General features: G+C 56.8%; 1 protein-coding gene and 2 long non-coding RNA genes across 8 annotated transcripts in view, besides 7 other annotated features; 2 read left to right on the top strand and 1 right to left on the bottom strand.

The window, feature by feature from the left end:
• LOC107985544 (uncharacterized) overlaps positions 1-8865 on the top strand; it is a 35724-nt gene extending 26859 nt beyond the window's left edge. Inside the window, exon 3 of the long non-coding RNA NR_146603.1 lies at positions 4731-8865. This is a non-coding gene — a long non-coding RNA (uncharacterized LOC107985544). The remainder of the gene's footprint in view (positions 1-4730) is intronic.
• OSBP2 (oxysterol binding protein 2) overlaps positions 1-25571 on the bottom strand; it is a 214032-nt gene that overhangs the window by 12893 nt on the left and 175568 nt on the right. For 3 of the 6 annotated variants that reach the window (NM_001282738.2, NM_001282739.2, NM_001282740.2), the window contains 10 exons: positions 24239-24492; positions 7303-7495; positions 6581-6698; positions 5687-5741; positions 5285-5431; positions 3948-4193; positions 1679-1799; positions 1355-1458; positions 1188-1283; positions 920-1104 (listed from right to left, as the gene is read on the bottom strand). In NM_001282738.2, coding sequence (NP_001269667.1) covers positions 920-1104; positions 1188-1283; positions 1355-1458; positions 1679-1799; positions 3948-4193; positions 5285-5431; positions 5687-5741; positions 6581-6698; positions 7303-7495; positions 24239-24492 — 1519 coding nt within the window. Of the gene's footprint in view, positions 1-919; positions 1105-1187; positions 1284-1354; positions 1459-1678; positions 1800-3947; positions 4194-5284; positions 5432-5686; positions 5745-6580; positions 6699-7302; positions 7496-13118; positions 13241-24238; positions 24493-25571 lie in introns of those variants that run through there. The other 3 variants (NM_030758.4, NM_001282741.2, NM_001282742.2) reach the window with 2 other exon arrangements.
• Positions 780-1355: an enhancer, noted in NCBI's record as "H3K4me1 hESC enhancer chr22:31289553-31290128 (GRCh37/hg19 assembly coordinates)". NCBI's record gives its function as "activates a minimal SCP1, AML or CMV promoter by ChIP-STARR-seq in naive and primed H9 embryonic stem cells {active_cell/tissue: H9 hESC(naive and primed)}" and the evidence as "EXISTENCE:reporter gene assay evidence [ECO:0000049][PMID:30033119]".
• Positions 1356-1931: an enhancer, noted in NCBI's record as "H3K4me1 hESC enhancer chr22:31288977-31289552 (GRCh37/hg19 assembly coordinates)". NCBI's record gives its function as "activates a minimal SCP1, AML or CMV promoter by ChIP-STARR-seq in primed H9 embryonic stem cells {active_cell/tissue: H9 hESC(primed)}" and the evidence as "EXISTENCE:reporter gene assay evidence [ECO:0000049][PMID:30033119]".
• Positions 8212-8909: an enhancer, noted in NCBI's record as "NANOG-H3K4me1 hESC enhancer chr22:31281999-31282696 (GRCh37/hg19 assembly coordinates)". NCBI's record gives its function as "activates a minimal SCP1, AML or CMV promoter by ChIP-STARR-seq in primed H9 embryonic stem cells {active_cell/tissue: H9 hESC(primed)}" and the evidence as "EXISTENCE:reporter gene assay evidence [ECO:0000049][PMID:30033119]".
• Positions 11486-11769: an origin of replication, noted in NCBI's record as "ori2p amplicon; peak of nascent strand synthesis determined by quantitative PCR of size-fractionated nascent DNA". NCBI's record gives the evidence for it as "EXISTENCE:fractionation evidence [ECO:0000100][PMID:17668008]".
• Positions 15757-16498: an enhancer, noted in NCBI's record as "H3K4me1 hESC enhancer chr22:31274410-31275151 (GRCh37/hg19 assembly coordinates)". NCBI's record gives its function as "activates a minimal SCP1, AML or CMV promoter by ChIP-STARR-seq in primed H9 embryonic stem cells {active_cell/tissue: H9 hESC(primed)}" and the evidence as "EXISTENCE:reporter gene assay evidence [ECO:0000049][PMID:30033119]".
• Positions 16499-17241: an enhancer, noted in NCBI's record as "H3K4me1 hESC enhancer chr22:31273667-31274409 (GRCh37/hg19 assembly coordinates)". NCBI's record gives its function as "activates a minimal SCP1, AML or CMV promoter by ChIP-STARR-seq in primed H9 embryonic stem cells {active_cell/tissue: H9 hESC(primed)}" and the evidence as "EXISTENCE:reporter gene assay evidence [ECO:0000049][PMID:30033119]".
• Positions 17546-22031, top strand: LOC105372994 (uncharacterized). The gene is made up of 3 exons (XR_007068062.1): positions 17546-17926; positions 21710-21844; positions 21947-22031. It is a non-coding gene; the product is annotated as an uncharacterized LOC105372994 (long non-coding RNA).
• Positions 21695-22195: an enhancer, noted in NCBI's record as "H3K4me1 hESC enhancer chr22:31268713-31269213 (GRCh37/hg19 assembly coordinates)". NCBI's record gives its function as "activates a minimal SCP1, AML or CMV promoter by ChIP-STARR-seq in naive H9 embryonic stem cells {active_cell/tissue: H9 hESC(naive)}" and the evidence as "EXISTENCE:reporter gene assay evidence [ECO:0000049][PMID:30033119]".

Genomic DNA, 25571 nt, shown 5'->3' with positions numbered 1-25571 from the left:
GCCTGAAAATGCCTTGATTTCACCTTCATTCTTTAAAGATGGTCTCCCTGGGTGTATAATTCTAGGCTGGCAGTGCATCTTTCAACTCACGGAAGATATCATTTGACTGTCTTCAAGCTCCCATTTCTGTTGATAAGGGGACAGCTCCTCGGAAAGTGATGTCTTTTTAAAATCTGGCTGCTTAATAGTTTCTCTCTGATTTAGTTTCACTGCATAGATTTAGGTGCAGGAATTTCTTTGTTATTTTTATCTTCAGGTACAGTCCCTCTTTCCTTTTGGGACTCTCGCTAGAAATGCCAAACCCTGCTCTCAATCTTGCTGAGCAAGCTTACAGAAATGCAGATTCCATTGCAGGAGGTCTGACGGGAGACTGCACTCAAACTCGCTCCCAGGAGAGGCCAGGGAGCCTGCTCCAGGGACCTCACTCTGTCTTCTCCCTGTAGCTTCCTGTCTTTTCTGGGTTTTGTCTCTTTAAATGCAGTTCTGTCACTTCTTCTGACCTGTGTTCAGGTGATAGATTCTAGCTACTAAACCATTCCACAGGGTTCTCAATGTCAGTCATTTTTTTTTCCCTTTGTCGAATTTCTATTTGTTCTCTTTGGACTTTCCTATGCCACATTTTATAGTTTTCTATTTCCTGTGGTTATTTTCAAGTATGTTTTTTATTTCTTGTAGGGAGGAACAGGGAGGGGCTCTGTCCTATCACCTCGCTTAAAGTCTGTGCATAGTGTTTGATAGTTTCACATTTATTTACTGTTCGGTGTCTGCCTTCACACTGGGATGTCGGCTGCATAATACTGTTCTCTGCCCATGTGTGGACTGAACCCTCCCGACCTCCTGTGCCTGTCAGTTGCTTTCTGTCCACTGTCCTCCTTCCCTCTCCTTTGCCTGTGGCGGGGCCCCTGCCAGCCCTACTCACGGCAGCGGGTACTTCTTCCACAGCAGCTTGGCTGACAGGGTCTGGTACACTGTCTTCTGCTTCCCGTCAGAGCTGGGGCTGCTGGGACTGCTATGCATGACCTTGGAGCACTCCATTTGTTCATCCCACGAGCCGGACAGCACGTAATGGGCCTTGCCCTGGCTGTCACTCACCACTCCTGTCACCTGTGGACATTGGCAGGACCAGCGTAGGTGCAGACTCTGCCCTGGGCCCCCTGGGGTGCTTAGAGGTGGCTGGTCCTGCTTACCTTCCGGGCTGCCTCTTTGGAGAAGTAGCTGTAGGGCAGGAACTTCAGCTGGCACCGGTCATTGGTCTTATGGTTCACAATCTCGATGTCCCCTGACTGGCGAAGGAGGGCAGTGGTCAGCGGCCAGCCCCCGGGCCATGCACCCCCTCCCCAAGGGCGCCCCTGACCTGGTCGATCCAGAGCTTGCCCACGATGATGTTGTGAACAGTTGAGGTGCTCTTCCTCCACACGTAGTGATTCCCACTGGCCTGGAATTCTAAGTGGATGGCACCTGGAGGCAGGGGACAGGTCAGAGGTCATGCCCCCCCATGCAGGGCTCTGGCCAGTCTGCCCTTAGGCCTGGTGTCTTGAGAACTAGGCTGGGGGGTTGAAGAGGCAGGCCTACAGGGAGGTCTCCCTTGGAAGCCCCCAGCTGGCTTTTGCATCACCAGAATCCTCCCTCTTATGCACAATGTCTCTGTGTCCCAGGAAGGCACCGGGCCCCAGCTCACCTAGCGGCATGATGGAGATGTATTTTCCCCGGAACTTGCTGGAGATGGTGATCTCCTGCCAGAGGCTCCAGCCATGCTTGGAGAACACGTAGTGCGCAGCTGAGGGGGGGTGGTGGCTCACCTGAGACCAGACCCATAGGATGTGAGCATCTGCCAGACATGAGCCCAGGTTCCACTTGCCCCAGCCAGGGAGGGACAGCTTGCCCTGCCTCAGCAGGCACAGCTCTGTGGCCATAGGAGCAGTCCTGGCTGTTCCTCAGGTGGCCATGGACCCAAGGCAGGCCCCCAGGAAGGCACTGCCTTGAGCAGAAAAGCATCCGGGTGCTGTCCTGAGCCTCTCAGTGCCTGGCTCCTGGGCTGTGAAATAGGGGTGATGGTGGACCTCATGCTCAAAGACATGTCTGTGACAGGTGCACTGAGGGCTGATAAAGGGTGTCACACTATGCCGAAGGTTCCATGTCCACTTCTCATCTAATCCTCCCCACACACCAGGTGTGTCTGCTGTGCCATGTTATACCAAGGGGGCCCAGACTGGCAGAGTGATTTTAGCCAAGGGGCAGTCGGGCCCTGCCTCTGGCCAGCCTGGCTCCAGAGCAGGCATCCACATCGATGCACTGCCCCGGGCCCGGCCCTCCCCTGCCTTGCTGGCAGTTCCACCAAGCCTCCCTTGTCTGTTCTTCCTTATTCCATGCTGCTCTGGCTGTGGGGCCCAGGCTTCCCTCTCCTAAGTCTACCCACTCCCCAGGACAGCAGCCCTAGCCTAGCCCTGCCCCTGGCCTCCAGCTGCCCTTGGACATCTCATCTCCCCTCAGACAGGCAGAGCCGGGATCCCGCTGCCCGCAGTGTGCCTCGCCTCACTTCCTGTCTCTGTAAGAGGTGCCCACTTGCTTCCTATGCCCCAGGAGATGGGTTAGCTGGCCCTGAGCTCAGCTGATCCCTCCCCAAGGAGCCCATAGGAAGCTCTGCCTCCTCCTCGCCTATACCTCAGCATCCTGCCCTTCCAGCTGCTCACACCAAACGCTCTGCAGCCTCTCTGGCCCTCCTCATGCTCCTCCTCTAACCCTAAGCAAACCCTTCCTGCCCTTCCTTCAAATCGCATCCAGCATCTGCCCCCTCCACTCCCACCTCCATCTCCCCAGGCTTCCCTGTGGGCCACTCCCTCCATCGCAGTGGAGGGTTCCTCTGGCAGGTCAGGAGGCAGGCCCCACCCGGGGTGCACCGCCCTCCAGCTGCTGCTTCTTCACCCTCCTTTCCTTTCCTCCCCTCACTCTTTCTGCATCAGCAAAGCTGCTCCCTGACCACCCCCTTTCTAAAAGAGCTGGAAGCAGCCACAGTATCTGCCTTGCTTTCCCAGCCCCATGAGAACCAGAGCCGTGTCTGTTCACTTCCCAGCTGAAACCTCCATGTCTGAGCAGCACCTGGCATGTCGAGGGCACCTAATGTCTGCTAAGTGGAGAAATACATTCACTCCAGGGTTCAGGCCAAGGACCCAAGATCACCCTGACTGCCCCCCACCCCCGTATCCAAAGCGTCGGCAAACCAGCTGGCTCATCCTTCAAAAGCTGCCTGTGTTCTGGCCTCCCCCTTCCCCCAGGTCTGGCCACCACACCCCTGCGTGTGTCACTGCAGCCACCTCCTAACGGGGCCTTGCAGCAGCTGCAGCCTCTTCAACTAGCAGCAGGGTCTGTGAATGGCCAGCATCCCACACTCATGCCAGGAGCCAGGGCAACGCCAGCACCAACAGAATCACCTCGTTTCCAACCAGGACGCCCAGGTTCAGCATGGGGCTGCCACTGCTGAGGCTCCTGGGCCTGGGTCTTGGCATATCTCTGTGGGGAAGGGGTGGTGGGGACAGGCTGCTGTCACTGGCTGGGGCAGAGTCCATCCCACCGCACCCAGGCTCCTCCTGCCAGCCGCCTTCAGCTCGGTAGTGACCCCATGCTCCTCCCCAGCAGTGCCCACAGATGCCCCTCCACCTCTGCTCCACAACACCCTGGACTGGAGCTTATCCTCCCGCTCCCTGCAACCAGGCCTGACCTTGTCCTCACCAAGCTGAGTTCTCATGCCCCTCGCCATCTCCAGGAGGCCGTGTGCCTGCCCCTGCCATGGAAGGCCCTGCTCCCTGGCTGGACCTCAGCTTGATGGCCCCTTGGGTATGGGCAGTCAGGGTCAGACAGACGCTGCCTCCCATTTGTCACCTTGGGCCTGGCAGGAACAGCTTGGCCAGAGTGTGGGTGGGCGCCACCCAGTGCCAGCCTAGCCCCCTCACCTGCTCACAGAGGGAGCGCAGGCCCATGTCGTCGAGGCGGTCCAGCTCGAAGGTCTCCCCCAGCATGGGGTTGAAGGGCTTGGCGATGCGGTGCACTGTGGTGGAGTAGGAGGACACAGAGAAGGCGGCCACCAGGCACATCTGCTCCACTGAGCTGGTGCAGTGCACTGCCTTGTCCAGCAGGTGGTGGTACTCCAGGTCCTCTGTCAGCCGCTGGAGCATGGACAGGGGCTCATTGAAGTTCACCTGTGGGTGGACAGGTGGGTGGTCAGGCTGGGCACCAGCCCCGGCTTGGCATGGTGCCCTTGCTTTTCTCGGATGTTCAGGGACATCCCTGCTCAGACAGCACCTTCACAGTGAGGCTCCTCAGATGGCCCTGTCCAACAGTGTGGCCCCCAAGCCATCACCTCCCTGGCCCCTCCTGGCTGTTTTCTCCACAGCCCTTCCCACTTTCTGGTCTGCTGCATCCTACACACTTTTATCATGTTCACTGTTGCTCTCCTCTGCTCGGATGGACACCCACCAAGGCCAGGGGTTCTGCCTGGCCCACTGCTGTATCTTGAGTGCAGAATCTTAGGAAGCAGTGACTGAATGGGCACATGAGTCTGTGGGTGGAGGAAGTGGGTCTTCCCCATGTTGCGAGCTGTGATGGGGCCCGGCACAGGATGGGTTAGGCCCAAGGCCCCTATCTCGGTGTCACATAGGGCAGGGTCACTCTCCCCACCATGATGCCATCGGGTACGAGTCTCAGCTTCCTCGTGTTATCTTGCTCCATCCTCCCAGACACTGAAGAGGACGCTGTGTTTCTCCCCACCCTACACATGTGGACACAGAGGCTGGAGATGTGAAGGAACTTGTTCTGGGTCACACAGCAGAACCGTCTGGCCTAGTGGAGATGCCACTGTAGCCAGGTGGCATGAGGATCCAAGCTCTGAGCCTGCATTTCCTGGGGATGGCACCAGGGATGGCTGCCAGCTGAAGGAGGGCCCACCCCTCCACACACAGCCCCATCCTGCCACTCCCCATCTACAGATCGGGACAGCTGGGACATGGTAAGGTCCTGTGAGATCCAGAGGTGCTCTGGGGCTCCCCAGGTTGCTGATCCATGCAGAGCTTCTCCCTGGCTCCTCCTGTCAGAGCCCAAAGATCCCTGTACTTTGGAAGATTGGGCAATGCCTATGTGCACGATTAGATAATTAGTTACATGCTCCTCAGGTGCCGTTAAGAAAATGACACTCCAAGGCTGTGTGTACTTCACACAGGCCATTACTGCTCATCCACGCACAGGAAAGCAGCCCCAGAGGACCTGTCGGGGCTGCCCTGCCCGAGCCACCCACCGGCATGGGGATCCTGGAGAGCTCCCGGCCGATGCAGTTCTTCATGATGCTCCAGAGGTTAAGGCTGTAGTTGGGCTTGTTGGGAATGCGGACTCGCCTCTTGACTTTGGATGAACCCTTGGGCACGAGCGAGGCACCATCTAGTACCTGCCACATAAGTGGGGACCCCCTCACCGTCAGCAGAGGCCAGAGCGCCCCCTTGGCTTCCAAGTTTCTGCCCTCCACCCTGAGGACTGGCACCAAGCCGGCCACTGGTACGCTGCTGGTGGAAGGCCAGGATGGTGCTCCTGGACTGGGGCATGGGCCTGCCTGCTGGCCCCCAGTTCTTGGTGCTGGCCTGTCCCTCCCACCCCCTAGGCCAGAAGCTGCCTTCTGGCCCTTACAGTGCTCCCCCTCACTTACATTGTCTGCTGAGCTCCAGTCCACGGAACTTGTCCCGGTGCTACCTTCAGCTTTTCTGCTGGAAATACAAAGCGGGAGGCAAGTTACTAATGAATCCCGAGGTCTCCTTGGGACCTGGCCCATCCTCTCTCCAGACAACATCATTTTCATTGCTAGTAAATGTCCTGGTCACTGCCGTGTGTTCTGTGTGTAGACAGGCACCGCAATAACAACATTTCAAGGGTGGATAGTGTATATGACAGTGGTCCCATAAGACTATCATATCGTATTTTTAATATACCTTTTCTATGTTTAGATACACAAATCCTTAACCATTGTGTCACAATTGCCTACAATATTCAGTACAGTCACATGTTGTACAGGTTTGTAGCCCAGGAGCTATAGGCTGTGCCATATAGCCCAGGTGTGTGGCAGGCTCTATCAGCTAGGTTTGTGTAAGTATACTCTATGAGGCTCACACAACAATGAAATCCCATCTGGAGCAAGACCGATAGATTATTGATTTTTTGAGACAGGGTCTCTCTGTTGCCCAGGCTAGAGTGCAGTGGCATGACCATGGCTCACTGCAGCCTCCACCTCCCTGGGCTCAAGCGACCCTCCCACTTCAGCCTCCCAAGTAGCTGGGACTACAGGCCTGCACTACCATGCCTGGCTAGTTTTTGTATTTTTTGTAGAGACAGGGTTTCGCCATGTTGCCCAGGCTGGTCTCAAACTCTTGTATTCAAGCAATCTTCTTACCCTTGGCCTCCCAAAGTGCTGGGAGCCACTGGGCCTGGCCAAAGCAAGATTTAAAGGAAAGAAAACCCCAAGTAGACAACTAGATAGCTGGTGAAAAGACCAGATGCAGCCTAAGACCAGGGTGGGGGAGGCTCTGCCCAGCTGCAGCCACCTTACCTGTCTTCCTTGGCCTCGGTGATCACGGTGATGAAGGATGTGGAGTCTTCCATGGCATCAAAGTACTCGGTATCTTCATCTTCCTCACTGTCCTCTCCTTTGGGAGTCAAGAGGCTTCCTAGAGACACAGACAGAGCTTTAATTTGTAACCTCACAAAAGGCTCAATCTCGCCTCCCTAAGTCCAGAGCCAAGGGCTCCCCCAACCCCCATCTGGCCTCACTCCCCTCCTGCTTCAGTCACCTGGGCAGCCCTGATTCCCTGGGCTGCGGCCACCCTTGCTCCCTCTGCTAGAATCATGTGCTTTCAACGCATTCACCGCACAGGAGCCTCTTTCTGGAAGCCCCCCCGATCTCTCAACATGTGGGTCAGTCTTTCTGTGGCCCAGCTTCCCTTTCTGATGGACCCCTGTCCAGGGTCCCCATGACCCCCAACCCAAGGCTAGGTGGGTGGCCACCTGGCACCAGGACACCCCTGTCACACAGGGGACAGCTGGGCTCATTAAATTTAACTCTTGAGAATGTGAACCTAGGTGCAGACAAACTGTTGCCAGTGGGTGATGGACATGGGAGATACAAAACCACGAAGAGGCAGTCAAGAGTTGGCCAAGGCCAGCCCACATGTGGGCACAGCCAGGGATGTGCATGTGGGGGCGCAGAAGTTGTGTATGCAGAGCCAGCTGGCAGAAGGTCATGGGACAGCCCTGCCCTGGCTGCCCACTCACCCTCAATGAAGCTCTTGGAGGGGTTGGCCGGCCGGCCAGGGGCACTGTGGAAGGCCCGCTCGAGGCTGTTGTGCTGCTTCGCCAGCTGCTCAATGGTTTCCTCCAAGTGCACGCGCTGCTCCTGCTCATACTGCAGTGCCCGCTGCCATTTCCGACTGTGTATCTCTGCTAGTTCCAAGAAGTCCCTGCAGGCCTGGGGAGGGAGGAGTGGCGGTATGAGACCCTGGCCTCTGGCAGGGGCCCATCTGTCAGAGGCATGTGAACCAGAGCAACTCCACCTTAAACAGGAGCTGGGTAAGATGAGGCTGAAACCTACTGGGCTGCATTCCCAGACAGCTAAGGCATTCTAAGTCACAGGATGAGATACAAAATACAGGTCATAAAGACCTTGCTGATAAAACAGGTTGCAGTAAAGGAGCCGGCCAAAACCCATCAAAACCAAAATGGCGACGAGAGTGACCTCTGGTCGTCCTCACTGCTACACTCCCACCAGCGCCACAGTTCACAGATGCCATGGCAACATCAGGAAGTCATCCTCTATGGTCTAAAAAGGGGAGGCATGAATAATCCACCCCTTGTTTAGCATATCAGCAAGAAATAACCATAAAAATGGGCAACAAGCAGCCCCGGGGGCTGCTCTATCTATGGAGTAGCCATTCTTTTATTCCTTTACTTTCTTGATAAACTTGCTCTCACTTTGCACAGCAGACTCGCCTTGAATTCTTTCTTGTGTGAGATCCAAGAACCCTCTCGTGGGGTCTGGATCAGGACCCCTTTCCTATAACACATCTGCTCCCCCACCTCCATTCCCTGTGAGGACTAAGCTCTGATATTTTTTATCTTGCCCAAATTCCTATCTAAGGCGTCTGGGGAGTCATGCCCTAAAAACCATACATTCTCATCAGATGGGCTTTATTTAGCCCTATATATCGTGACTTACTTTCCAACCTGACTCTGGCATAACATTACGAGTCAAGGAAGAAAAAGTATTTCATCCCAAAACATGCTTCTTTGCCATATTTTGAAGTGGCCCTGCAAAGCTGTCCTTTGTGGGGGAAAACGTGCATCTGTAAAGAATCTCTATTCACAGAGCTAGATCGTTTTCTTCCAGGCCCTCCCAACCCTGAAGAGATGAAGTAAGAGTCTTAGCACCTTTTTAAAGGTCTGATTAGGAAACATTTGTCATCTATTGTCTCCAAGGGGAGCCACTATAAGACTTAAAAAGAACCTTGGTCTCCACAATCTTTCATCTTAACCTGAACATTTCCTTTCTATTGATCCCAGGTCTTTAGACAACTCAACCAAGTGCCAACCAGAAAATGTTTAAATTTACCTATAGCCTGGAAGGCCCCCTCCCCACCTTGCTTTTGAGCTGTCCCGCCTTTCTGAACCAAACCAATGTATTTCTTAAATGTATTTGATTGCTGCCTCATGCCTCCCTAAAATATATAAAACCAAGCTGCGCCCCAACCACCTTGGGCACATGTTCTCAGGACCTCCCAAGAGCTATGTCATGGCTGTGGTCACTCATATTTGGCTGAGAATAAATCTCTTCAAATATTTTGCAGAGTCTGTTTTTGTTGACACCTGCAGTGAAGAAGGCCCTGGGGGCCATCTAGCTGCCCCCTCTGCTGGGATGGTCACAAACATGCTTACTGCCCCCTTTGGCCTCCTTGGGGATGTGGGAACCCTGGCCTTCTCAGAGCCCGCCCAGCAACCAGCACCCACCTTGGTTGGCCTCCCACGGTCAGGATGCCAGTTGGGGAACAGCAAACCTGGGTGCCACGGGTCTGCACGCTGCCTCCCCAGCAGCAGCTGGTTTGGTTCAGCCTGGAGCTGAGGTGGCTGCTGTTGCTCATTATGGTAGGGCCCGAGCATTCTGCGGCCACGTCCTCCCTGCAGTGTTAGGCCTCAGGTTTGTCACTGGCCCTTGTCTACCCTGGGCCAGTCCCTGGCCGTGGCACAGAAGGAAGGAAAGCCACGTTCTGCTATCCTCCCCAGCTCAGAGAGGTAATTGGTCTTGTCTGGCAGAAGTGGGACTGGCACTTTCTACCAAGCTACATCAGAGTCTGAATCACATAACTGCTTTTAAGGTTTTCCCTTCAAGCTTGTGGCCTACTGAGACATCCAGAATCTTTTCAGCTTCCCAGGTCCACAGATGGTTCCACCACCAGTTTTGAAGCAGGGGTTGGTCATTCTGCCCTGTCATTACAGTGGAGAGGATGGCTCAGGCTTCAGCTGTCCCTGGAGGGCAGTGAGATCAAATCTAGGAACCTCTGGATTTGCCCTTTCTGGACACATTCTTGAAGCCAGTAGGAAGGGACGTTTCCTTGGCCCGCATCTGCATCAGTGGCCCCAGCTGCCACTCCCCAGCACTTCCTCCCCACCCAATTGCCCCAGCTGACCTGGAGCACCCACTGAGCTCCATGCACATCACAGGCTGTCCCACCCCAAAGGAGGAAGATGGGCACACCAGTCCTCACCTGTGACACAGGGACAAGGCAGCTGTTGAGGAAATATCAGGAGGTGATGTGGCAGGCAGGGCGAGGGAGCACTCAACAGACGTGCCTCATGGATCCCCTCCCGCATCTGCCCTGGCACCTGGTGCCCAGGCCACAACCACTAACTCCCACCACTCCTCAGACCTCTGCAGCATCGCTCTCCCAGGCAACGGCCTGCCCCTCAGTCAGAACCGCTCAGATGCCTGCCCATTGGGTCGGTCTCTCCAGCGACTGTGCCAGGAATGCCCCTGAATCAGCAGCTGCTCCCAGACATTTGCTGCCAAGTGACACCTACCGGGGGGTGGGACTGACAGCAGTGGGAGCGAGACGGGGGTGTCCTGAGGCGGCCTCAGGAGAACACCTCCAAGGGTGGGAGGCTCCCCAAGGCTGTGCACTGGGGCACCCTGCCTGGGGACTCGCCCACCCCACAGGGAGAGCCCGAGCTCTCGTGGCTGGCCTGGCTCGGTGGAAAGGGGCCCCCAGCCTGCCCCAGGGATGCCACTCCTTGAACAAGCCCTCCTCTGGGCACCTTCCCTCCCCCATCTCCCTCAAGCACCACACAGGGTGGGCAGGGCAAGGTGTGCCTCCTCATCCCAGAGATGTGAAATGGGGCCTGGAGATGCAACATGGCCTGCCCAAGGAAGCCAGCAGAGTGTGGTGGCCAGGGGTGCACTATCAGGAGTTGGAAAACCTGGGTTCCAGCAGAAGCCCCTTGGACCCTCTGAGCCCACATCCTCTCTGTGAGACAGACGGTGATGCCCGACAGATGCTGTGCCCACAAGCTGCCCTGTCTCCGCTCATCCGGCAAAATTCTCCAGGTGGGAGGAGTGCAGTCACCCCCATTGGACAGATGAAGGTCTCCTCCCTGCAGGTTGAGGCAGGGGGAAAGGCCTCCTCGAGGAAAGAAAGAAACCTCCTTATCTCATGCGCCTCATCCTGATGATGTGTGAGACTGAGTCCAGGGTGTTGAAGGTCTGGGCTATTTTGAGTTCATGGGTCTTATAAGGCTGTCCCTTGGGTGTGGGACTGCAGTCACTGTCCATCATACAATTTGCAGACCCCATAGTGGGCCTGGGTGAGTCCTGGGAGACGCAGCTCCAGGCCTGACTCCACTGCTCCCTGGCTTGTGACTGGGAGCCGAGCCTTTCACCACCTGGAGTCCTACAGCGGCCGTCCTGCTTCACCCACAACCCTGTCCCTCTCTCACTGCTGTAGGCCTTAGAGTGAGGACCCTGAAAACAGACTCAGAGACAATGTGCCCCAGCAGCCAGACCAGATGGCACCTCTTTGCTGGTTTTGTGCCAGTGGGTGTAAGGGCGGTGGCGGAGGCAGGGGGACGGTATCCCTCTGGGTGCCTCAGGAATGTTCCAGACCCTTACAGAAGCCCCATGAGTTGGGTAGACAGAGACTCCCACCCCATCCCAAGACAGCAAAGCTAGCCCTGAGGGCACCCAGCAAGGAGGTGGCAGAGCCAGATCCAGAACCCAGGTCCTCAACTGAGAGCTTGCTCTAACATCCTACCTGGCTGCAGCTCCCAGGAGGCCCTCCTCCCCACATTGCCCTAAGCTTGGCCCAGTGCTCTGTCAAGTTAGTCTTGGTTCCAGCCACCTGTTCATGGGCTCTCTGACACTGCTGCTCTGCTGACCCTGGCCCATGCAGGTCTCCAGGCTCTGCTGAGCTGGTCTCAAGGCTCAGAGTGCAAGTGAGGAAGGACACCCTCATCTCCCTGGGTGCTGCTTCAGGGAAGTCCCCTGCATCCCGGGACTGGGAGAAGGGGCTAATCGGGTCAGTACAGGGTGAACAGGATGGGATCCCAGGTCTGTCTAGCCCCAGGGCCACCTCCACACAAGGCACGATCCCCTTGCCTGCCTGATGCAAGTAGGGGTGCAGAGGCCAGGGCTGTGCTGTGCATGGTGAGAGTGAATTGGTGCTTCATGGTTTTCTGGGTTCTTGCCTATCTGGCTGCACAAGGCCTCTGCCCCGCCCTCCCTCATCCCTGCACCATCACTTCCTGCCAGTCTCCTACAGCCCCCAGAATCATCCTCTCCATCCACAAGTTCTCACATAGATGGGTGCTTTGTTTTCATATACCTCATGTCATTTACAAGACTTATGAAAGAGCCATACAACAGCAGTTTAAAATAGTAGCCAAAGGTCATGGTAAGAATTCCCACAAACTCACATCTGAGGGTGCCTGGGCTTCCCAGCAGCAAAAGCAAAGAGGGAAAGATGACCAGAGAACAAAGATGAATTAGGCCCCCTACCTCCTACCTTTGCTGTTCACAGGGACTCTAATACTTTAGAAATGACTATTTTCTCCTTCAAGGGAAAATGGAGTATTTGTTTTTTCCACAGATCCGGGCAGCTGATAGCCTCTCATAGAAAATGGTTTCCAATCCTCTCCAGCCTCATCTCCTGGGGCTCCGTTCCTTCCCAGGGCCCTGAGTGTGGCCCACCAGGTATCCTGTCTTCTTGCCTTTCCCTGGCTCAAATTCAAACCCTCCTGCTGATTCTGATGCCAGCCCCACCTCCCTCACACCGCGGGCCCACTGTGGGGCAGGGCATTGCAGGCATTCTTACAAGCACTGAGGTAGATTTTTTTTTTTTTTTTATAGTGTGCATGACCGAGGAGGAAATGAAGGCTCAGGGTGACTGAGGGACTCGCCCAAGGCCACAAGGAGGTGTGTGTAGGGCCAGGATCCAAGTCCCTGAGCATCTCACCTGCATGTCCCCCAGGGTATGGAACCAGTGCTGTTAGGGTTTACTTTGTAAAGCCAAATCTTGATTGCCGTCTGGGAGCCCCTTGAGGGCAGGGATGTTGTGGGATCCCAGAGCCTTCCTGGTGTGGAGCTAGGTTCCTGGGAGATATTCACTAACCAGGCTGCCTGGGAATAACCCTGTCCAAGCAACAGAGCCCAGCCCTAGCCTCAGGGAGAAGGGGTGGCCTCCCAGCACCCTTAGCCCCAGCTGAGGACTTTGTACACACAGCCAGGGTTGCTGGCTGATACACTGGCCGTGAGTGACCTCAGTCCCCCTCAAGGCTACCAAAGGGCCAGCTGGCATCGTGCAGCAGGGAGACAGGAAGTCCCTAGGACAGCTGGGCCTCATTTGGGTACATGTGCCTAGGCTGGGCACATGCAGGTCGTAGAGTGTCACAGTCACCTAAAAGCGGGGCAGGGTGAAAACTGCTGTGCCCTAATATCAAAGGCCTCATGTGGCTGCACCCAAGACCTTTACCCCCACAGCACATGAGCTGCCTGGTCACCCCATGGATGCAGAGAGCCCGTCCACCTCCCCCAGCCCGGATGCACCCACCTGGTGTCCATCCCTGACTCCCAGGGTCTCCTCTGCTGCTGCCGGCCTTCTCCAGGCCCCATCCTGGCTGTGCTGTGGGGAGAGGCAGGCGCCTGGCGTGGCCCTGCTGTTCTCAGAATGCTGAGCTGGGCTGTGTGCTGTGTGCTTGATAAGCTGGATTAGGCTTGGGGCCCGGCAGAGGGACTGGCAGGGGGAGGTTCCCAGGGGCCCAGGGAGGGCCTGGCTGACCCAGCCCAGGCCTGAACGTGGTCTCATTTCTCTGAGGCTGTGTGACAACTCTACCTGGGGCCAGGAGACTCGTGCTCAGCTGTGAGCAGGAGGAGAGACGGGCTGACCTGAAGCCCCCTACCCGCACATTTGTGTCCTGAATTGTTTAAGGGGAAGAGAGTGAGGGGTCCTAGTGGGAGCTGGAGGTGGTACCTGGGCCCTGCATGGGTGCTACCCCACTGCCCAATCCTGGGACAGGCCTGTAATCTCCTGGCGCCCTCCTGGGCTCCTACAGAGTCCCTGATTCTGTGACCTGTCAGGTTGATTGTCCTCAGCGTGGGGACAGAGTTCCAGTGTCCTGGCCCTGCCCCTTCTGCCTACCCCCAAGTGCTGCACAGAGGGTTCTGGTGAAAGGGGTGTTGGGGGTATGGGTGCTCTGAGATGCAGAGGGGCCGGCCTGGGGTGCAGAGCCCCTGGGCAGTGTGGTCCTGTCTCCATGGGGAGGGCAGGGAGCCTGTCGAGTTGCCCCCAAGCAGAGTGAGAACCACAAAGCTCGACAGACAAGGGGGGTCTCCGCCCTGGGGCAGCCCCACCTGGGGAGTCCAGGCCCTGCCTGACCACCAGGGACTCTCCCTACTGAGAAGTCTGGCCTGGGGAAGAAGGCTGTAAGGGCTGCCCACCCAGGGGAAACCAAGTCAGGGGCCATGCCATGTGAGGTCTGAGCAGGGGTTGCTGCTGGTCACCGGTGCCCCATGGGACAGACATTGAGCATCTCTGACCTGGAAACCTTTGCCCAGATGCACCCCAGGAAGAGGAGGACAAACTCTAATCGCTTTTGCTGTTCCTAATCCTAATCCTAATCCTGACAGTGATCTCACTGCTCCCCAGGCCAGGCGGGAGAGCAAGGTGTGAGGTCAGCTAGCCTGGGTCCCCTGTGTGTGACCTAGGGCAGCCTCTCAGGCTCTTGGGAGCATGCAGAGCCAGGACCCTGTCTGGCCTTCAGTGGCTTCCTGGAAACTTCCCTTCTAGACAGGGATGTGAGGGAGGCACCAGAGGCCTGCTGGGCATTGACGTGGGCAGCCACTGGGCTCACGGAGGAGGTGGGGAGATGGGCCAAATGCCCATATGGTCCAGGCTAGGAAACTGGCTCCAGCCATTAGCACACACAGGAGGTCCCAGCACCCCTGGTGCAGGGATAATGGGAGAAAGGGCCGTGTTCTTATCTGCGGCTGGTCCAGGACCTGCCAGGCATCTGACGTGTCTGCCCTCTGGCTCTGGGCTCCCAGGTGGGCGGCCGGAGGACCCTCTGCTCTCCAGGTTTCTAGGGCCAAGGCTACCCACCCTCCACGCTGATCCTCACATCCCTTGTTGCCACAGACCCTGCCTCTCACCAGCCTGGGGTTCTGAAGGTGATGAGCGGTGAGATCGCAGAGAGTCAGGGTCTCCCTGAACCCCTCTGCATGGCCAGGGGACTCACTGGAGTAACAGGATCTTGCCTCCCCTGCCATTGAGGAGTGGCGGGCTGGCCTCACCTATTTTTTTTTTTGAGACAGAGTCTTGCTCTTGCCCAGGCTGGAGTGCAGTGGTGCCATCTCAGCTCACTGCAACCTCTGCCTCCCAGGCTCAAGCGATTCTCGTGCCTCAGCCTTCTGAGGAGCTGGGACTACAGGCACCTGCCACCACACCTGGCTAATTTTTGTATTTTTAGTAGAGACAGGGTTTCACTATGTTGGCCAGGCTGGTCTCAAACTCCTGACCTCAAGTAATCTGCCCGCGTCGGCCTCTCAAAGTGCTGGGATTACAGGCATGAGCCACCATGCCTGGCTTGGCTTCACTTTACACAAGATGAAACCCAAGCTCAGCAGGTGCCTCACAAAGGCAGGAAGGAGCTGCACTGCGATTCTGGTCTTAAGTGTCCAAGACCCAGACTGGGGACCCATGGAGCCACAAGGGGAAGTGCTGGGCTCCCCCGGGGATCCCTTTGGCCCAGCCAAGCTGTCATGCTGTGTCTCCATCACCTGCCTGACCCCCGAGGCGGAGCTTCCAGGGCCTGCTCCTCACAGGAGCGCTTGGCCCAGGCTGGTAGCACACAGGGGTTTCAGCCCTTCCCAGTCCCCACCGGGGGTCGATCAGAATGTCTCCTTGACTTGACTCACTCTCGGCACTGGTGAAGCAGCTTTCCAGTCCAATTAAAACTTTAAAATAGCCTCTCCACATTCAAAATAGTTTGCCACTCGCACACAGGAACCAACACCATCTGGCTTCCAGTTTGCCAACTGATTTTAGACAAATCTGGAATCTATTTTTACCCATCTCCCCAGGCCCTGGATGAGCAAGCTGTCAGAGCAGGACGGTGGTCAGCTGGGCAGAAACCTGCCCCACAGGCCCCGGAGGGACAAGGGAGGGCAGCTCCGGGCCTCTCACCCCTGCCTGGGTTGGCCTAAGGAGCCCCACGTGATCTCCTGGGCCGTGAGCCAAGAGGGGCCTCAGAGAAGCCTCAGCATGTCCAGCAGTGGGGCCCCTTCTGATGCGGGTCTTTGTTTCTATGATGCCCCACATCAGAAGCCCTGTCTGAGGGCCCCAGGTTGCTGTCTCTGTTCCTGTGACCCTCTTCCCAGCAGCCCCTGGCTACCCCCAGTGCCCACTCTATCTGGTGCCCCCAATGTCTCCTACTTCCCCCTCATACTTTGCCCTTGCAGCTGGAGTGTCCCCAAGTGGAGTGTCCCCCGAGCCGACTCCATCGAGTGCTGGCTGTGCCGGGTGCCCTTCCTCCCCAGGTTTTCCCATGTCCTTGCCATCAGGATGTCGCAGGCACCCCATACTGCCCAGCCAGCCCTGCGGCAGGCACCAAAGTGTGTCTCCTGAGGGATGCTACCTTCCTTGGTAAACCCAGGGACCAAGAGTGCGGCATCTCTCCCATCAGGCCTGGTAAGCATCTACCCTCTGTTGGCCAGCCCAGCCCTGCTTTCTGCCTGCACTGGGCACCTCGAGCTAGCTCTGCAAGCTAGCTCTGCCCACTCACTGGCTACACAAAACCCACTCCTGGGAAAGACCCTCCTGCATCCTGCGGAACCATGTGTGGGCCAAGCAGGGCGTCAGACAGCAAGGCCCCCATTCTCTAGCGGCTTAGGCCCCCAGCATGGGGTCCTTCCCCATGGCCTCTTTTCTCAACCACACAGCAACTCTGCTGTCCCTGCCTTCAGCTCAGAGCAGCACTGCCCACTCTCACGGGCGCCAGCTCTACTTTCTCTGCCCAAGGGGCCCCCGAAGGGTCTCCGAGCACTTGCCCCTGCCTCGCGGATAGCGCATTCTCCAAACAGCAGAGGGGTCTTGCTAAAATGCACGTGGGATCATTTTATTTGGCCTTGAGTCATTGACATTGGCATTGAGTCACTTGGCATTGAGTCCTTTGTCTCATTTCAAGTGGAAGCAGAACACTGTCAGCACAAGGTCCCTTGTGACTGGCCTCCTCTTCACTCCAACCTCCCCTCCTGTGGCTCCCAGTGCGCACTCCAGGGTGCCTGGCACCTGTGCCCCTGCTTAGCCCCCAGCCTGTCTGCACCTGTGGCCTTTCACCCCATCCCACCTCACTGGCTCTTTCCCCTAAAGGTCCTTTTGCCGCTGACATCCCATATCACCTATGTGGTTACAGCTCCCACAGGAGGGTGCGGGGCCCACAAGGCTGGGGCTGTGTTCACCCTCACAGCTCAAGGTTCCCAAGTGCCACAGGGGGTCATGTGGTCAGAAGGACCATGTCCTAGGCCCAGCATGAGTGACCAACTATGAGGAGCCTTCCAAGTTCAGGAATGGGGGTCGAGTCAGGTGCAGTCTGTCTTGCCTGGGCCCCGCCTGCAGGGACTGGAGGGACAGCAGCAGGAACAAGCCCACAGGCTGCTAAGAAGCAGGATGGAGCCCAGCTGCCAGCCCACCTAGGGGGCTCAGGACTGCAGGGGAGAGCACGCCCCAGCCTTGCTCTGCTGCCCTGGCCTGCAGACGGAACCTGCTCCCGCAGCTTTTTCACTTTATGGATGCTAACACTCCAAGCCTGAGCTTGTAATATGTACGAACTCAATCATTCTCCACCTTAAGCCAAGTGACAGAGGCAGTGCCACTGTACAAGGTATACCCTGGTGCTCAGGGAGGACGCTGCTATGAGGGAGAATGTCCCCACCTCATGCCTGGCCGAGCACCTGTGGGCAGGCACGTTATGGTTCAAGACTCATTCTAAAAACCAAAGTCATTTAATAGTCCTACGGGGTTTCTCTTAAATGGCAGGAGAATTCACAGTTACCCAAAACAGTAATTCAAGCACGGATCTGCTAGGCTAGCTTTTATCAGAGTCAAAAAAAATTACCCACTAGGGAATTTTGCCAGACACTAAGCGATTCATTCATTTGCTCCTGTGATTTTTCACAATATTCTCCCCACCCCTCCTCTCTCTCTCTCATTTGCTGAGGCTCCCATGTGCTGGGCTCTGAGCCAGGCATAGAGGCTACAGGGCTACGGGGATTGTGAGAGATACTGCGTCCTGCCCTTGCAGGAAGGACAGGGTGAAGATGCTGCAGTGGAAAGATCTCTGAGACTCTGCAGGCCTGCAGAAGGTGGGTGGCCAGTGGTGCCAGGACAGGGATGCAGGGTGAGGGTAGACAGGGGAGGTGTTCCTGACCTCCTGACCCTGATCAAGGGGAGGGTCAGGTTTATTTCTCTACCATAATGCAGCAGTGTAGTGGGCTCTGGAATCAGGAAGGTATGGGCTTGTATCCTTTTCAGCTGGGATCCTGAGCCCCTCAGCCTTGGTCTCCCTATGCGTAAGCCTGCAGAGTAGGGGCAGGGGAGGTGCATGCAGAATGTCTGGCATGCCACGCAATGCATGGAACACTCATCCCCTTTCCCATCCTGGCTCCCCACTGGCAGGGCCTGTCCCAGCCCCTCATAGCCCAGTCCTTAGGAGCTGGGGCATGGGTGTTGGGGGAACTGCCACCAGGGCAGGAAGACGCAACCAGGGACAGGTGGCCTGTGGGGAACGGGTCGGGAGAGGCTGCTGGGCCCACCAGAGATGCTCAGGAATCGTGTGAACCCCATACCCTGTTTCTCTCTCATGGCTGAAAGCCAAGAGCCAAGCTGATCTCTCCAGGTTCCCTGAGGGGGACGGCAAGGAGTCTGCTCTCCTTTCCAGGGCAGTGGGGCGGTGAGGCCACCACCCACACAGTTGACAAGCCTTGCCCAATGACCAAGTCCTGCCCACGGGCCCACCATGACTGGAGAACTGTCCAGAGGCCCAGGAAGGATAACTGGGTGGGCAGGTGGGAATAACAGAGGAGGGGGGCTTCAGAGCCAAACCGGTGCAGGTCCCCATCCTGGCCAGAGCAGAAAGACCTGCGCACGATGACAGCCCAGAAGGGAAAATAGTAATATTTTCCTTCTCTGCCTGGGAGAAAGCCTACTTCCCATTCTGTGTCTGCTGCCTCGGCCCTCTGTAGGCCCAGCCAAGGCTTGCCCTGGCTTTCCCGCTGGGCTGTGGTCAGCTGGACAGGAATCTGCCTCTCCGCCAACTGGGAACCTTCCCGGGCTCTTCCCTAAACTTGGCCTTCAAAAGTGGGCATGTGAGCTGGCGGCCCTGGGTCATCTTAGAACAGGTCACACTGATGAGCACATGCCTGGCAGCCTGTCACTTTAAGAGTTTGCTGGATTGCCTGTTCCCTGCGAGTCCCTGCCTGGCACAGGCCTGGGCAGGGATCAGGAGGCAGCTGCTAAGGTCTGATGTCAAATGCCCATCAGGCAGGGCTTTCCTAGCTGTGTGATGAGAGAGGGGTTGCCCTGAGTTCATGACGGGGCTGCTGACTTACTCAGATGCTGACCCCAGAGGGTCCTTCCAAGGCCCACAAAGTACACCCTCTGAGTCCGGCTAGAAAGAACCCTGCCAGGGCCAGGCGCGGTGGCTCACTCCTGTAATCTCAGCACTTTGGGAGGCCGAGGCAGGCGGATTACCTGCAGTCGGGAGTTCGAGACCAGCCTGACCAACATGGAGAAACGTCTTCTCTATTGAAAATACAAAATTAGCCGAGTGTGGTGGTGCATACCTATAATCCCAGCTACTCAGGAGGCTGAGGCAAGAGAATAGCTTGAACCTGGGAGGCCGAGGTTGTGGTGAGCCAAGATCATGCCATTGCACTCCAGCCTGGGCAACAAGAGCGAAACTCCATCTCAAAGAAAAAAAAAAAACAACAAAGAACCCTGCCAATCAAAATGCCACAAGGCAGAGGGAGGCTGGAGCCCAGTGTGGCGTGCACATGGAAAGTGTGGTTGCCCATACAATTTAATGCCACGAAATGCTGTTCTGGGCCAGGTGATCCCTCTGGAAGGGGAGTGCAGGGGGGTGCGGGGTGCAGGGGTGACCTCGGCAGGCTGAGGCCTCGGGGCTGGGCCTCCACTTTCTCACTGACCTTGTTCAGGTGAGAAAATGGGACTAGAAGAGCTTTGTAATAGGTAACATCACAGGTAAATGTGAGCCGTGGGCCACTTGGAGTGCTTTATCTAGAGACACAAGACCCACTATGAAACATCACTCACTGGCACTCCCACGGAGCTACTGTCGGGGACACCCGTGAGTAAGACACTCAGCCTGACCTCAGGGAGCACAAAGCCCACTGGGGAGTGATTGAAACAGTGGATTAAGTGCCACGTGGTCGTATGCCTGGGAGCCGGGGTCCCAGCCAAGAGGACGGCTGCCCAAGAGAGGCCTTGGAAAGCCATGGTGATGTCCCTGCGGGGTTCTGAAGGATGACAAGGGAGCTGCCAGTACCTGAAGGGTGAGGAAGGGGTGTTCTAGAAGGTACAGCACTGGTAAAGGCGTGGGGGGTTGAAACACAGCGTTGCTGTTCCAGATTCCCAATCCAGAAACCACCTCTGAGCACCTTGTTCCCTCAAACCCCTGGGGCTGAAGCCATTCCTGATATGAGGTGAGGATGGCTGCAGCGCCCTGCGAGGACCAGACGGTGCGTGGAATGGGCCTGCACCACTAGCTGTGGGTCCTGGGCTCTCGGGAATCATCCAGAGGACCCCCCTCCCTCCCTGCCCTTCTAGGAGCTGAGGACCTAAAGGCTTATGATATCAATGTCCTTTCCCAAACTTGAAAGAAATTTAGAAATCACCTGACTTTTCTTTTTTTCTTTTTTCTTTTTTTTTGAGACAGAGTCTCACTCTGTTGCCAGGCTGGAGTGCAGTGGCGTGATCTTGGCTCACTGCAACCTCCATCTCCTGGGTTCAAACGATTCTCCTGCCTCAGCCTCCTGAGTAGCTGGGACTACAAGAATGCACCACCATGTCTGGCTAAGTTTTGTTTGTTTGTTTTGTTTTTTTGAGACAGAGTCTCACTCTGTCGTTCAGTTTGGAATGCAGTGGTGCGATCTTGGCTCACTGCAACCTCTGCCTCCTGGGTTCAAGTGATTCTCCTGTCTTAGCCTCCTAAGTAGCTGAGATTACAGGTACGTGCCACCATGCCCAGCTAATTTTTGTATTTTTAGTAGAGACAGGGTTTCACCATGTTGGCCATGCTGGTCTTGAACTCCTGGCCTCAAGTGATCCACCCACCTCAGCCTCCCAGAGTGTTGGGATTACAGGTGTGAGCCACCACACCCAACCACCCTGACTTTTCTCCTGAAGCCGGAACAACCCCAGATTCTTTGTGGTCTTGGGGAAAAGTGAAGATGGAGCAGCCAGCCTGTCCCTGTAGGAAGAGAGCTGCCTGCCCCAGCGCGCTGTGAAGGACACCCTCCATGTGGGCTTTGTCTGGCCAGCCATCCCTCATTTTAGGCTCCACTTCTACGATCCGGCTCAATCAGAGCCCACAAAGTGGAAAACACACAGCATTTCACGAGGAAGAGGGTCTGCCCTGTCCGAGGAGCCAGTGGCAGTAGAGATTTCCCTAATGCAGGCACGGGCGCTAGGGGATGCTAGGAGCATCCCCGCACACATCACAGTCAGGATGGGGCTGGGGAGTGGGATGGAGTTGCAGTGGGGCCCCCACAGTGGGAGAAGCAGCTCCCTCTCACTGTGAGATCGGAAGAGATTGGGGGTGATGATTTCTACCTTCTGGGGACTGCGGTGCGTGGCTTCCATATCCAAGTCCCTGGCTTCCCAGGAGGGGCCCTGGTGGGGCTGCAGCCATGGTGACCAGAGGATACCTTGAAGCTGAAAGGTAAGACACTCCAGGGACTCACGGAGATCTTTGAGGTTGGGATCCCGCCCAGGGTGCGGGTGAGGCTGCCCCGCATCCTGGCCTTGGTGTGTAGCCACAGCAGGAGGGGGCCTCTGCAACCCTCCAAGGAGGTCACCCTTACCTCTTTGAGGTAATGAGAGAATGAGGGCCATCACTTCTCTTGCAGGCCACACAGACCTGGGTTTGCATGTATCTTGGCATGGCCACCTACCAGCTGGGTTATGCTGGTGACTTCCCTGAGCCTCAGTTTCCACGTTGACACTAACAATCCCTCAAGGTGCTAACCAGGCTGTTGGAAGGGGTAAGTGGTCTGGTGCCTGAATAGGCTCCCTGGAGGTTTGGAGGTGGGAGCAGCATGGATGTTCTAGTTACAGAGCCCTGGTCCAACACCTTCTCCTAACAGGTACCAAAGCCAAGGCCTGGCCAAGGGTGGGAATGCCTGTATCCCACGACCTTCAGGCAAGTGGCCGGCTTTGCCTACATGGCTCCTCTGCACACAGTGGGGGCTGAACCCTTGGTGTCTGAGAGCCACGCAAACAGCCTTTCCAGAACTACCCCGGTTCCTGCCAGGCGAGGAGTGGCTGTCAGGAAGGGTCCCCAGGGGAAACACAAGCCTCTGGGCTAGCCTGGGCTACAAGCACAGTCTGTCGGGGCAGCACTGCACTCCTGCCCTCCCTGCCCCTGATTCAACAGCAGGAGCTTGGGGAGGGGCCCTCATGGCAGGCTAACACCAGCAGGTTTGGCAGAACCCAGCCCAGGGCACAGCTTCCGTCACTCAGGGCTGACTCTGCCGCCATGTTCCCCGGATGCTGGAGCTGCAGAAAGGAATCGTGACCAACCCCAGGGGGTTGTGCTTCTCATAAAACAATTCATTAGGCACTTAAACTTGGAGCTGTTCTGATGGCTTCGTAAACACAGATGAGCCTCTGATGTCTGATAAAAGACTGTGCAAGACGGCAGCCAGCTGAGACGCTCATTATCTCGGAAAAGCCAAAACTGCTTATTCAAGACAAAGCAGTTTTGGTCTCGGGTAGGGAGGCAGTGCCTGGGAAGCCTCCGGCAGTGGCTTCTGGGAGGGACAGGGAAATACAAACGCATTATTATGTCATTCAGTGCTTCACATTTGTGTGTGTCCCTGGTAGAAGTACAGCAATCTGGTCTGTGGGCTGTAAGGAGGACAGTGGGCCTGAGAGGGTGGATGTAGGAAAACAGTGCAGGTGACAATGGGGCCAACACGCAGGGTGGCCCAGCAGCCTCTCAGCATCCTTGGCATATGGGGCCAACTGCCCCCCACCCCCCAGCACTGTGGGATCTGGGATGGACAAGGTGCACACACCTGCTGAGCTGAGGCGGGTGGGCACCTGCAGGCTGAGTTTCCCAGCAGTCGGGAAGGGGGGCACACCTCGCCCAGCCTCAGGCCCCAGGGTGGGATTCCCAAGGCTGCATTTGGGTGCTCCAGGCCTGAGCCTGAGCATATCTGGGCAGGTGTGGGTGGTGGGGTGGCCCTCCTGCCCCACAATCATGCTGCCAACAGGCCAGTGAAGCCGGCTTGGGGCAGGTCTTGGATGCCCAGGTTTTAGCCTGGGCTCTTGGCCTGCGGTGAGCTCCAGCCTCTATCTTCCCACCCTGCCCTTGCATTTCTTGCGGGGCCTGGAGCTTGGTCCCAGCTCCCAGTCCGGCCCTGGTCTAACCTCCTAGTTTGGGGGCTGGGTCCCCCAGCTGGAGGTCACCCAGGCACCAGCACTGCCCACTGTCCCCAGCCAGCACGATGACTCTCCTGAACCCCCTTCTCTGGACCTCACTTCTTCCTCTGCGGCCTCCATTTCTGTACAGCTCCTCTGCTCTGGTCTCCTTACTCCCAGCAGGCCACCCCAAGCTCCTACAACTGCACCCCTGGCCCAGATGTGCCGCCCTGGGGGACTGTCCTGGGAGGAGGCTGTTGCAGTCAGACCTGTGTCTGGAGGGTGGAGGCCTGGAGGAGCACGCACACTTCTGGGGAACACTCCCCAGACAGAAAGAGGGAAGCAGGGCCAAGCACTATCCTCCTACCACCATCGAGACACCCTCCTGGCTCCCAGTCCTAGCCGTGTGGCTTCCAGAGCCAGGGTGAGCGGCTGACTCCTGTGGCGGGGCTGCTTAGTTTACAACTGCGGTTACCTGCTTTGTCTACCATCAGGTTGGCACGACCTCGGCAGGCTCAGCTCTGAGGCCCTTCTAGCTCAGGGAGCCCTCGACTGCAGCCCCCCACCACACCCTCCCCTTGTTGTGCACAGCGTCTGCTCCCACTGCATCTGGGGAGTGAACCCAGGGAGGAGGAGTAGCAGCCACCGAGGGCCAGTGTGGCAGCTGTGTCCCTACTGTGTGGGCAGAACTGACCTGCTGGGCTAGCTACTTAACTTGGGGCCCCGACCTTCCTTATCGAGGCATGAAGTAAATAACTGCAGACTGCACCAGAGTCCACAACCAACTCGTTTCCTCCAGACAATTAGGAAGAATGTCCTTGCCCAACGACGGCCGAGTGAAGGAGATGATTTAAGAACTCGGAAGCTAGCTGGGGGGCGCTGGCTTTGGGAAACACCGTGGAACCGCAGGAAATGGAACGCTGACCCTTCAAGCTGACCCTGGTCACCCACCGAGGGACCCCGGGGCTGGAGCCAGGGAGCCCCGTGCCAGGGCGGTGGGGGTGGGTACTCACGTTGATCATAGCATTGGATGTGATGCGGAAGAGGGTGGCCCGCTCATTCACCACCTTCAGCTTCTCCCCACTCTCAGATGGGATCTTGAGGCCGTCCAGCTCTGTCAGGGAGCGCTGGAGTGCAGCGCCGTGCTTGGCGATGAGGTCATTGCACGTGCTGAGGTCATCTAACTTCAGGGAAAGATTCTTCAGGGTGTGGTGCAGCTCGCTCTTGTCGGCTGGGGTGGTAGCCTCGTCGTCGTCCCCAGAGTCATCTGTGGAAGAAAATAGAGTTGTTACGGTCATTACGAACAGACGTGGTACCAAGAGGCCTGCACAGCCAGGCCGAGCAGGGCAGGGTGGATAGCGCCATTCAAAAAACATCAGTCCCCGAGATGGTGCCCGTTCCTGTTCCTGGCCGGGGTGAGGTGCCTGCCCCATCCTGGCCCAGCCTTCCCAGGGTGGGGTGGGCAAGGGCCCACCTGAGTCAGTGGGAAGGACTGTAAAGAGAGCCCAGATTGAATGGCAGGGCCGGGACTGGGCTTTGGAGGCGGCAGGCCTACAGGCACCCACCTGCATGCAGGGCGCCAGCTCCCTACATTGTGGTGTGCAGGGAAGGATGGGCTCTGCTGGGTGGAGAGGTGGAGACTGCTCTCTGGGCACAGAGGCCCCCAGAATGGAGCCTGGGCTCCTTTCTCAGCATCGCAGGCCTACCCCAAGCCAATCACCCCCGTCCAGTCAACCTCACTTTGCTCTCTGCTCATGCCCATCCCCCAGCCACACCAATCTGTCCCCTGTTCCCTGCAAAGGCCTGAGCGCTCCTGTTTGGGGCCTTTCCCGCCATGTCCCCACTGCATGGAACCTTCTCATATCTGCCCCCACCAGAGGTCCTGCCCCACCCACCCCTTTGAGGGCCAGCCCAATGCCACCTTCTGTCCAAACTCTGCCAAAAGAGCCTGGGCAACATGACAAAAGTCTGTCTTCTACAAAAAATAGAAAAATTAGCCGGGCATAGTGGCATATGCTGATGGTCCCAGCTACCCAGGAGGCTGAGGTGGGAGGATCACCTGAGCCCAGGGAGGTGAAGGCTGTAGTGAGCCATGATCGTGCCACTGCACTCCAGCATGTGTAACAGAATGAGACCTTGTTTCAAAAAACAAAACAAAACAAAAACACCCAAAACACAACAACAAACAAACAAAAACAAAGTCTGCCAAAAGGCCCAATGTCACAGTTGAGGCTCCCCTTCACCGATCTCCCTGCAGGAACACAGCCATTCTCACTGATAGAATGCCTTCTGTGTGCAGACACGCTGTGGCCCCTCAATGGCCTTGCAGGGTAGGGACTGGACCAT

This window comes from Homo sapiens, chromosome 22, assembly GCF_000001405.40.
Source record: "Homo sapiens chromosome 22, GRCh38.p14 Primary Assembly".
Classification (NCBI taxonomy): Eukaryota; Metazoa; Chordata; class Mammalia; order Primates; family Hominidae; genus Homo; species Homo sapiens.
Note: the sequence above shows the minus strand (reverse complement) of the source record. Positions and strands in the feature narration are given on the sequence as shown.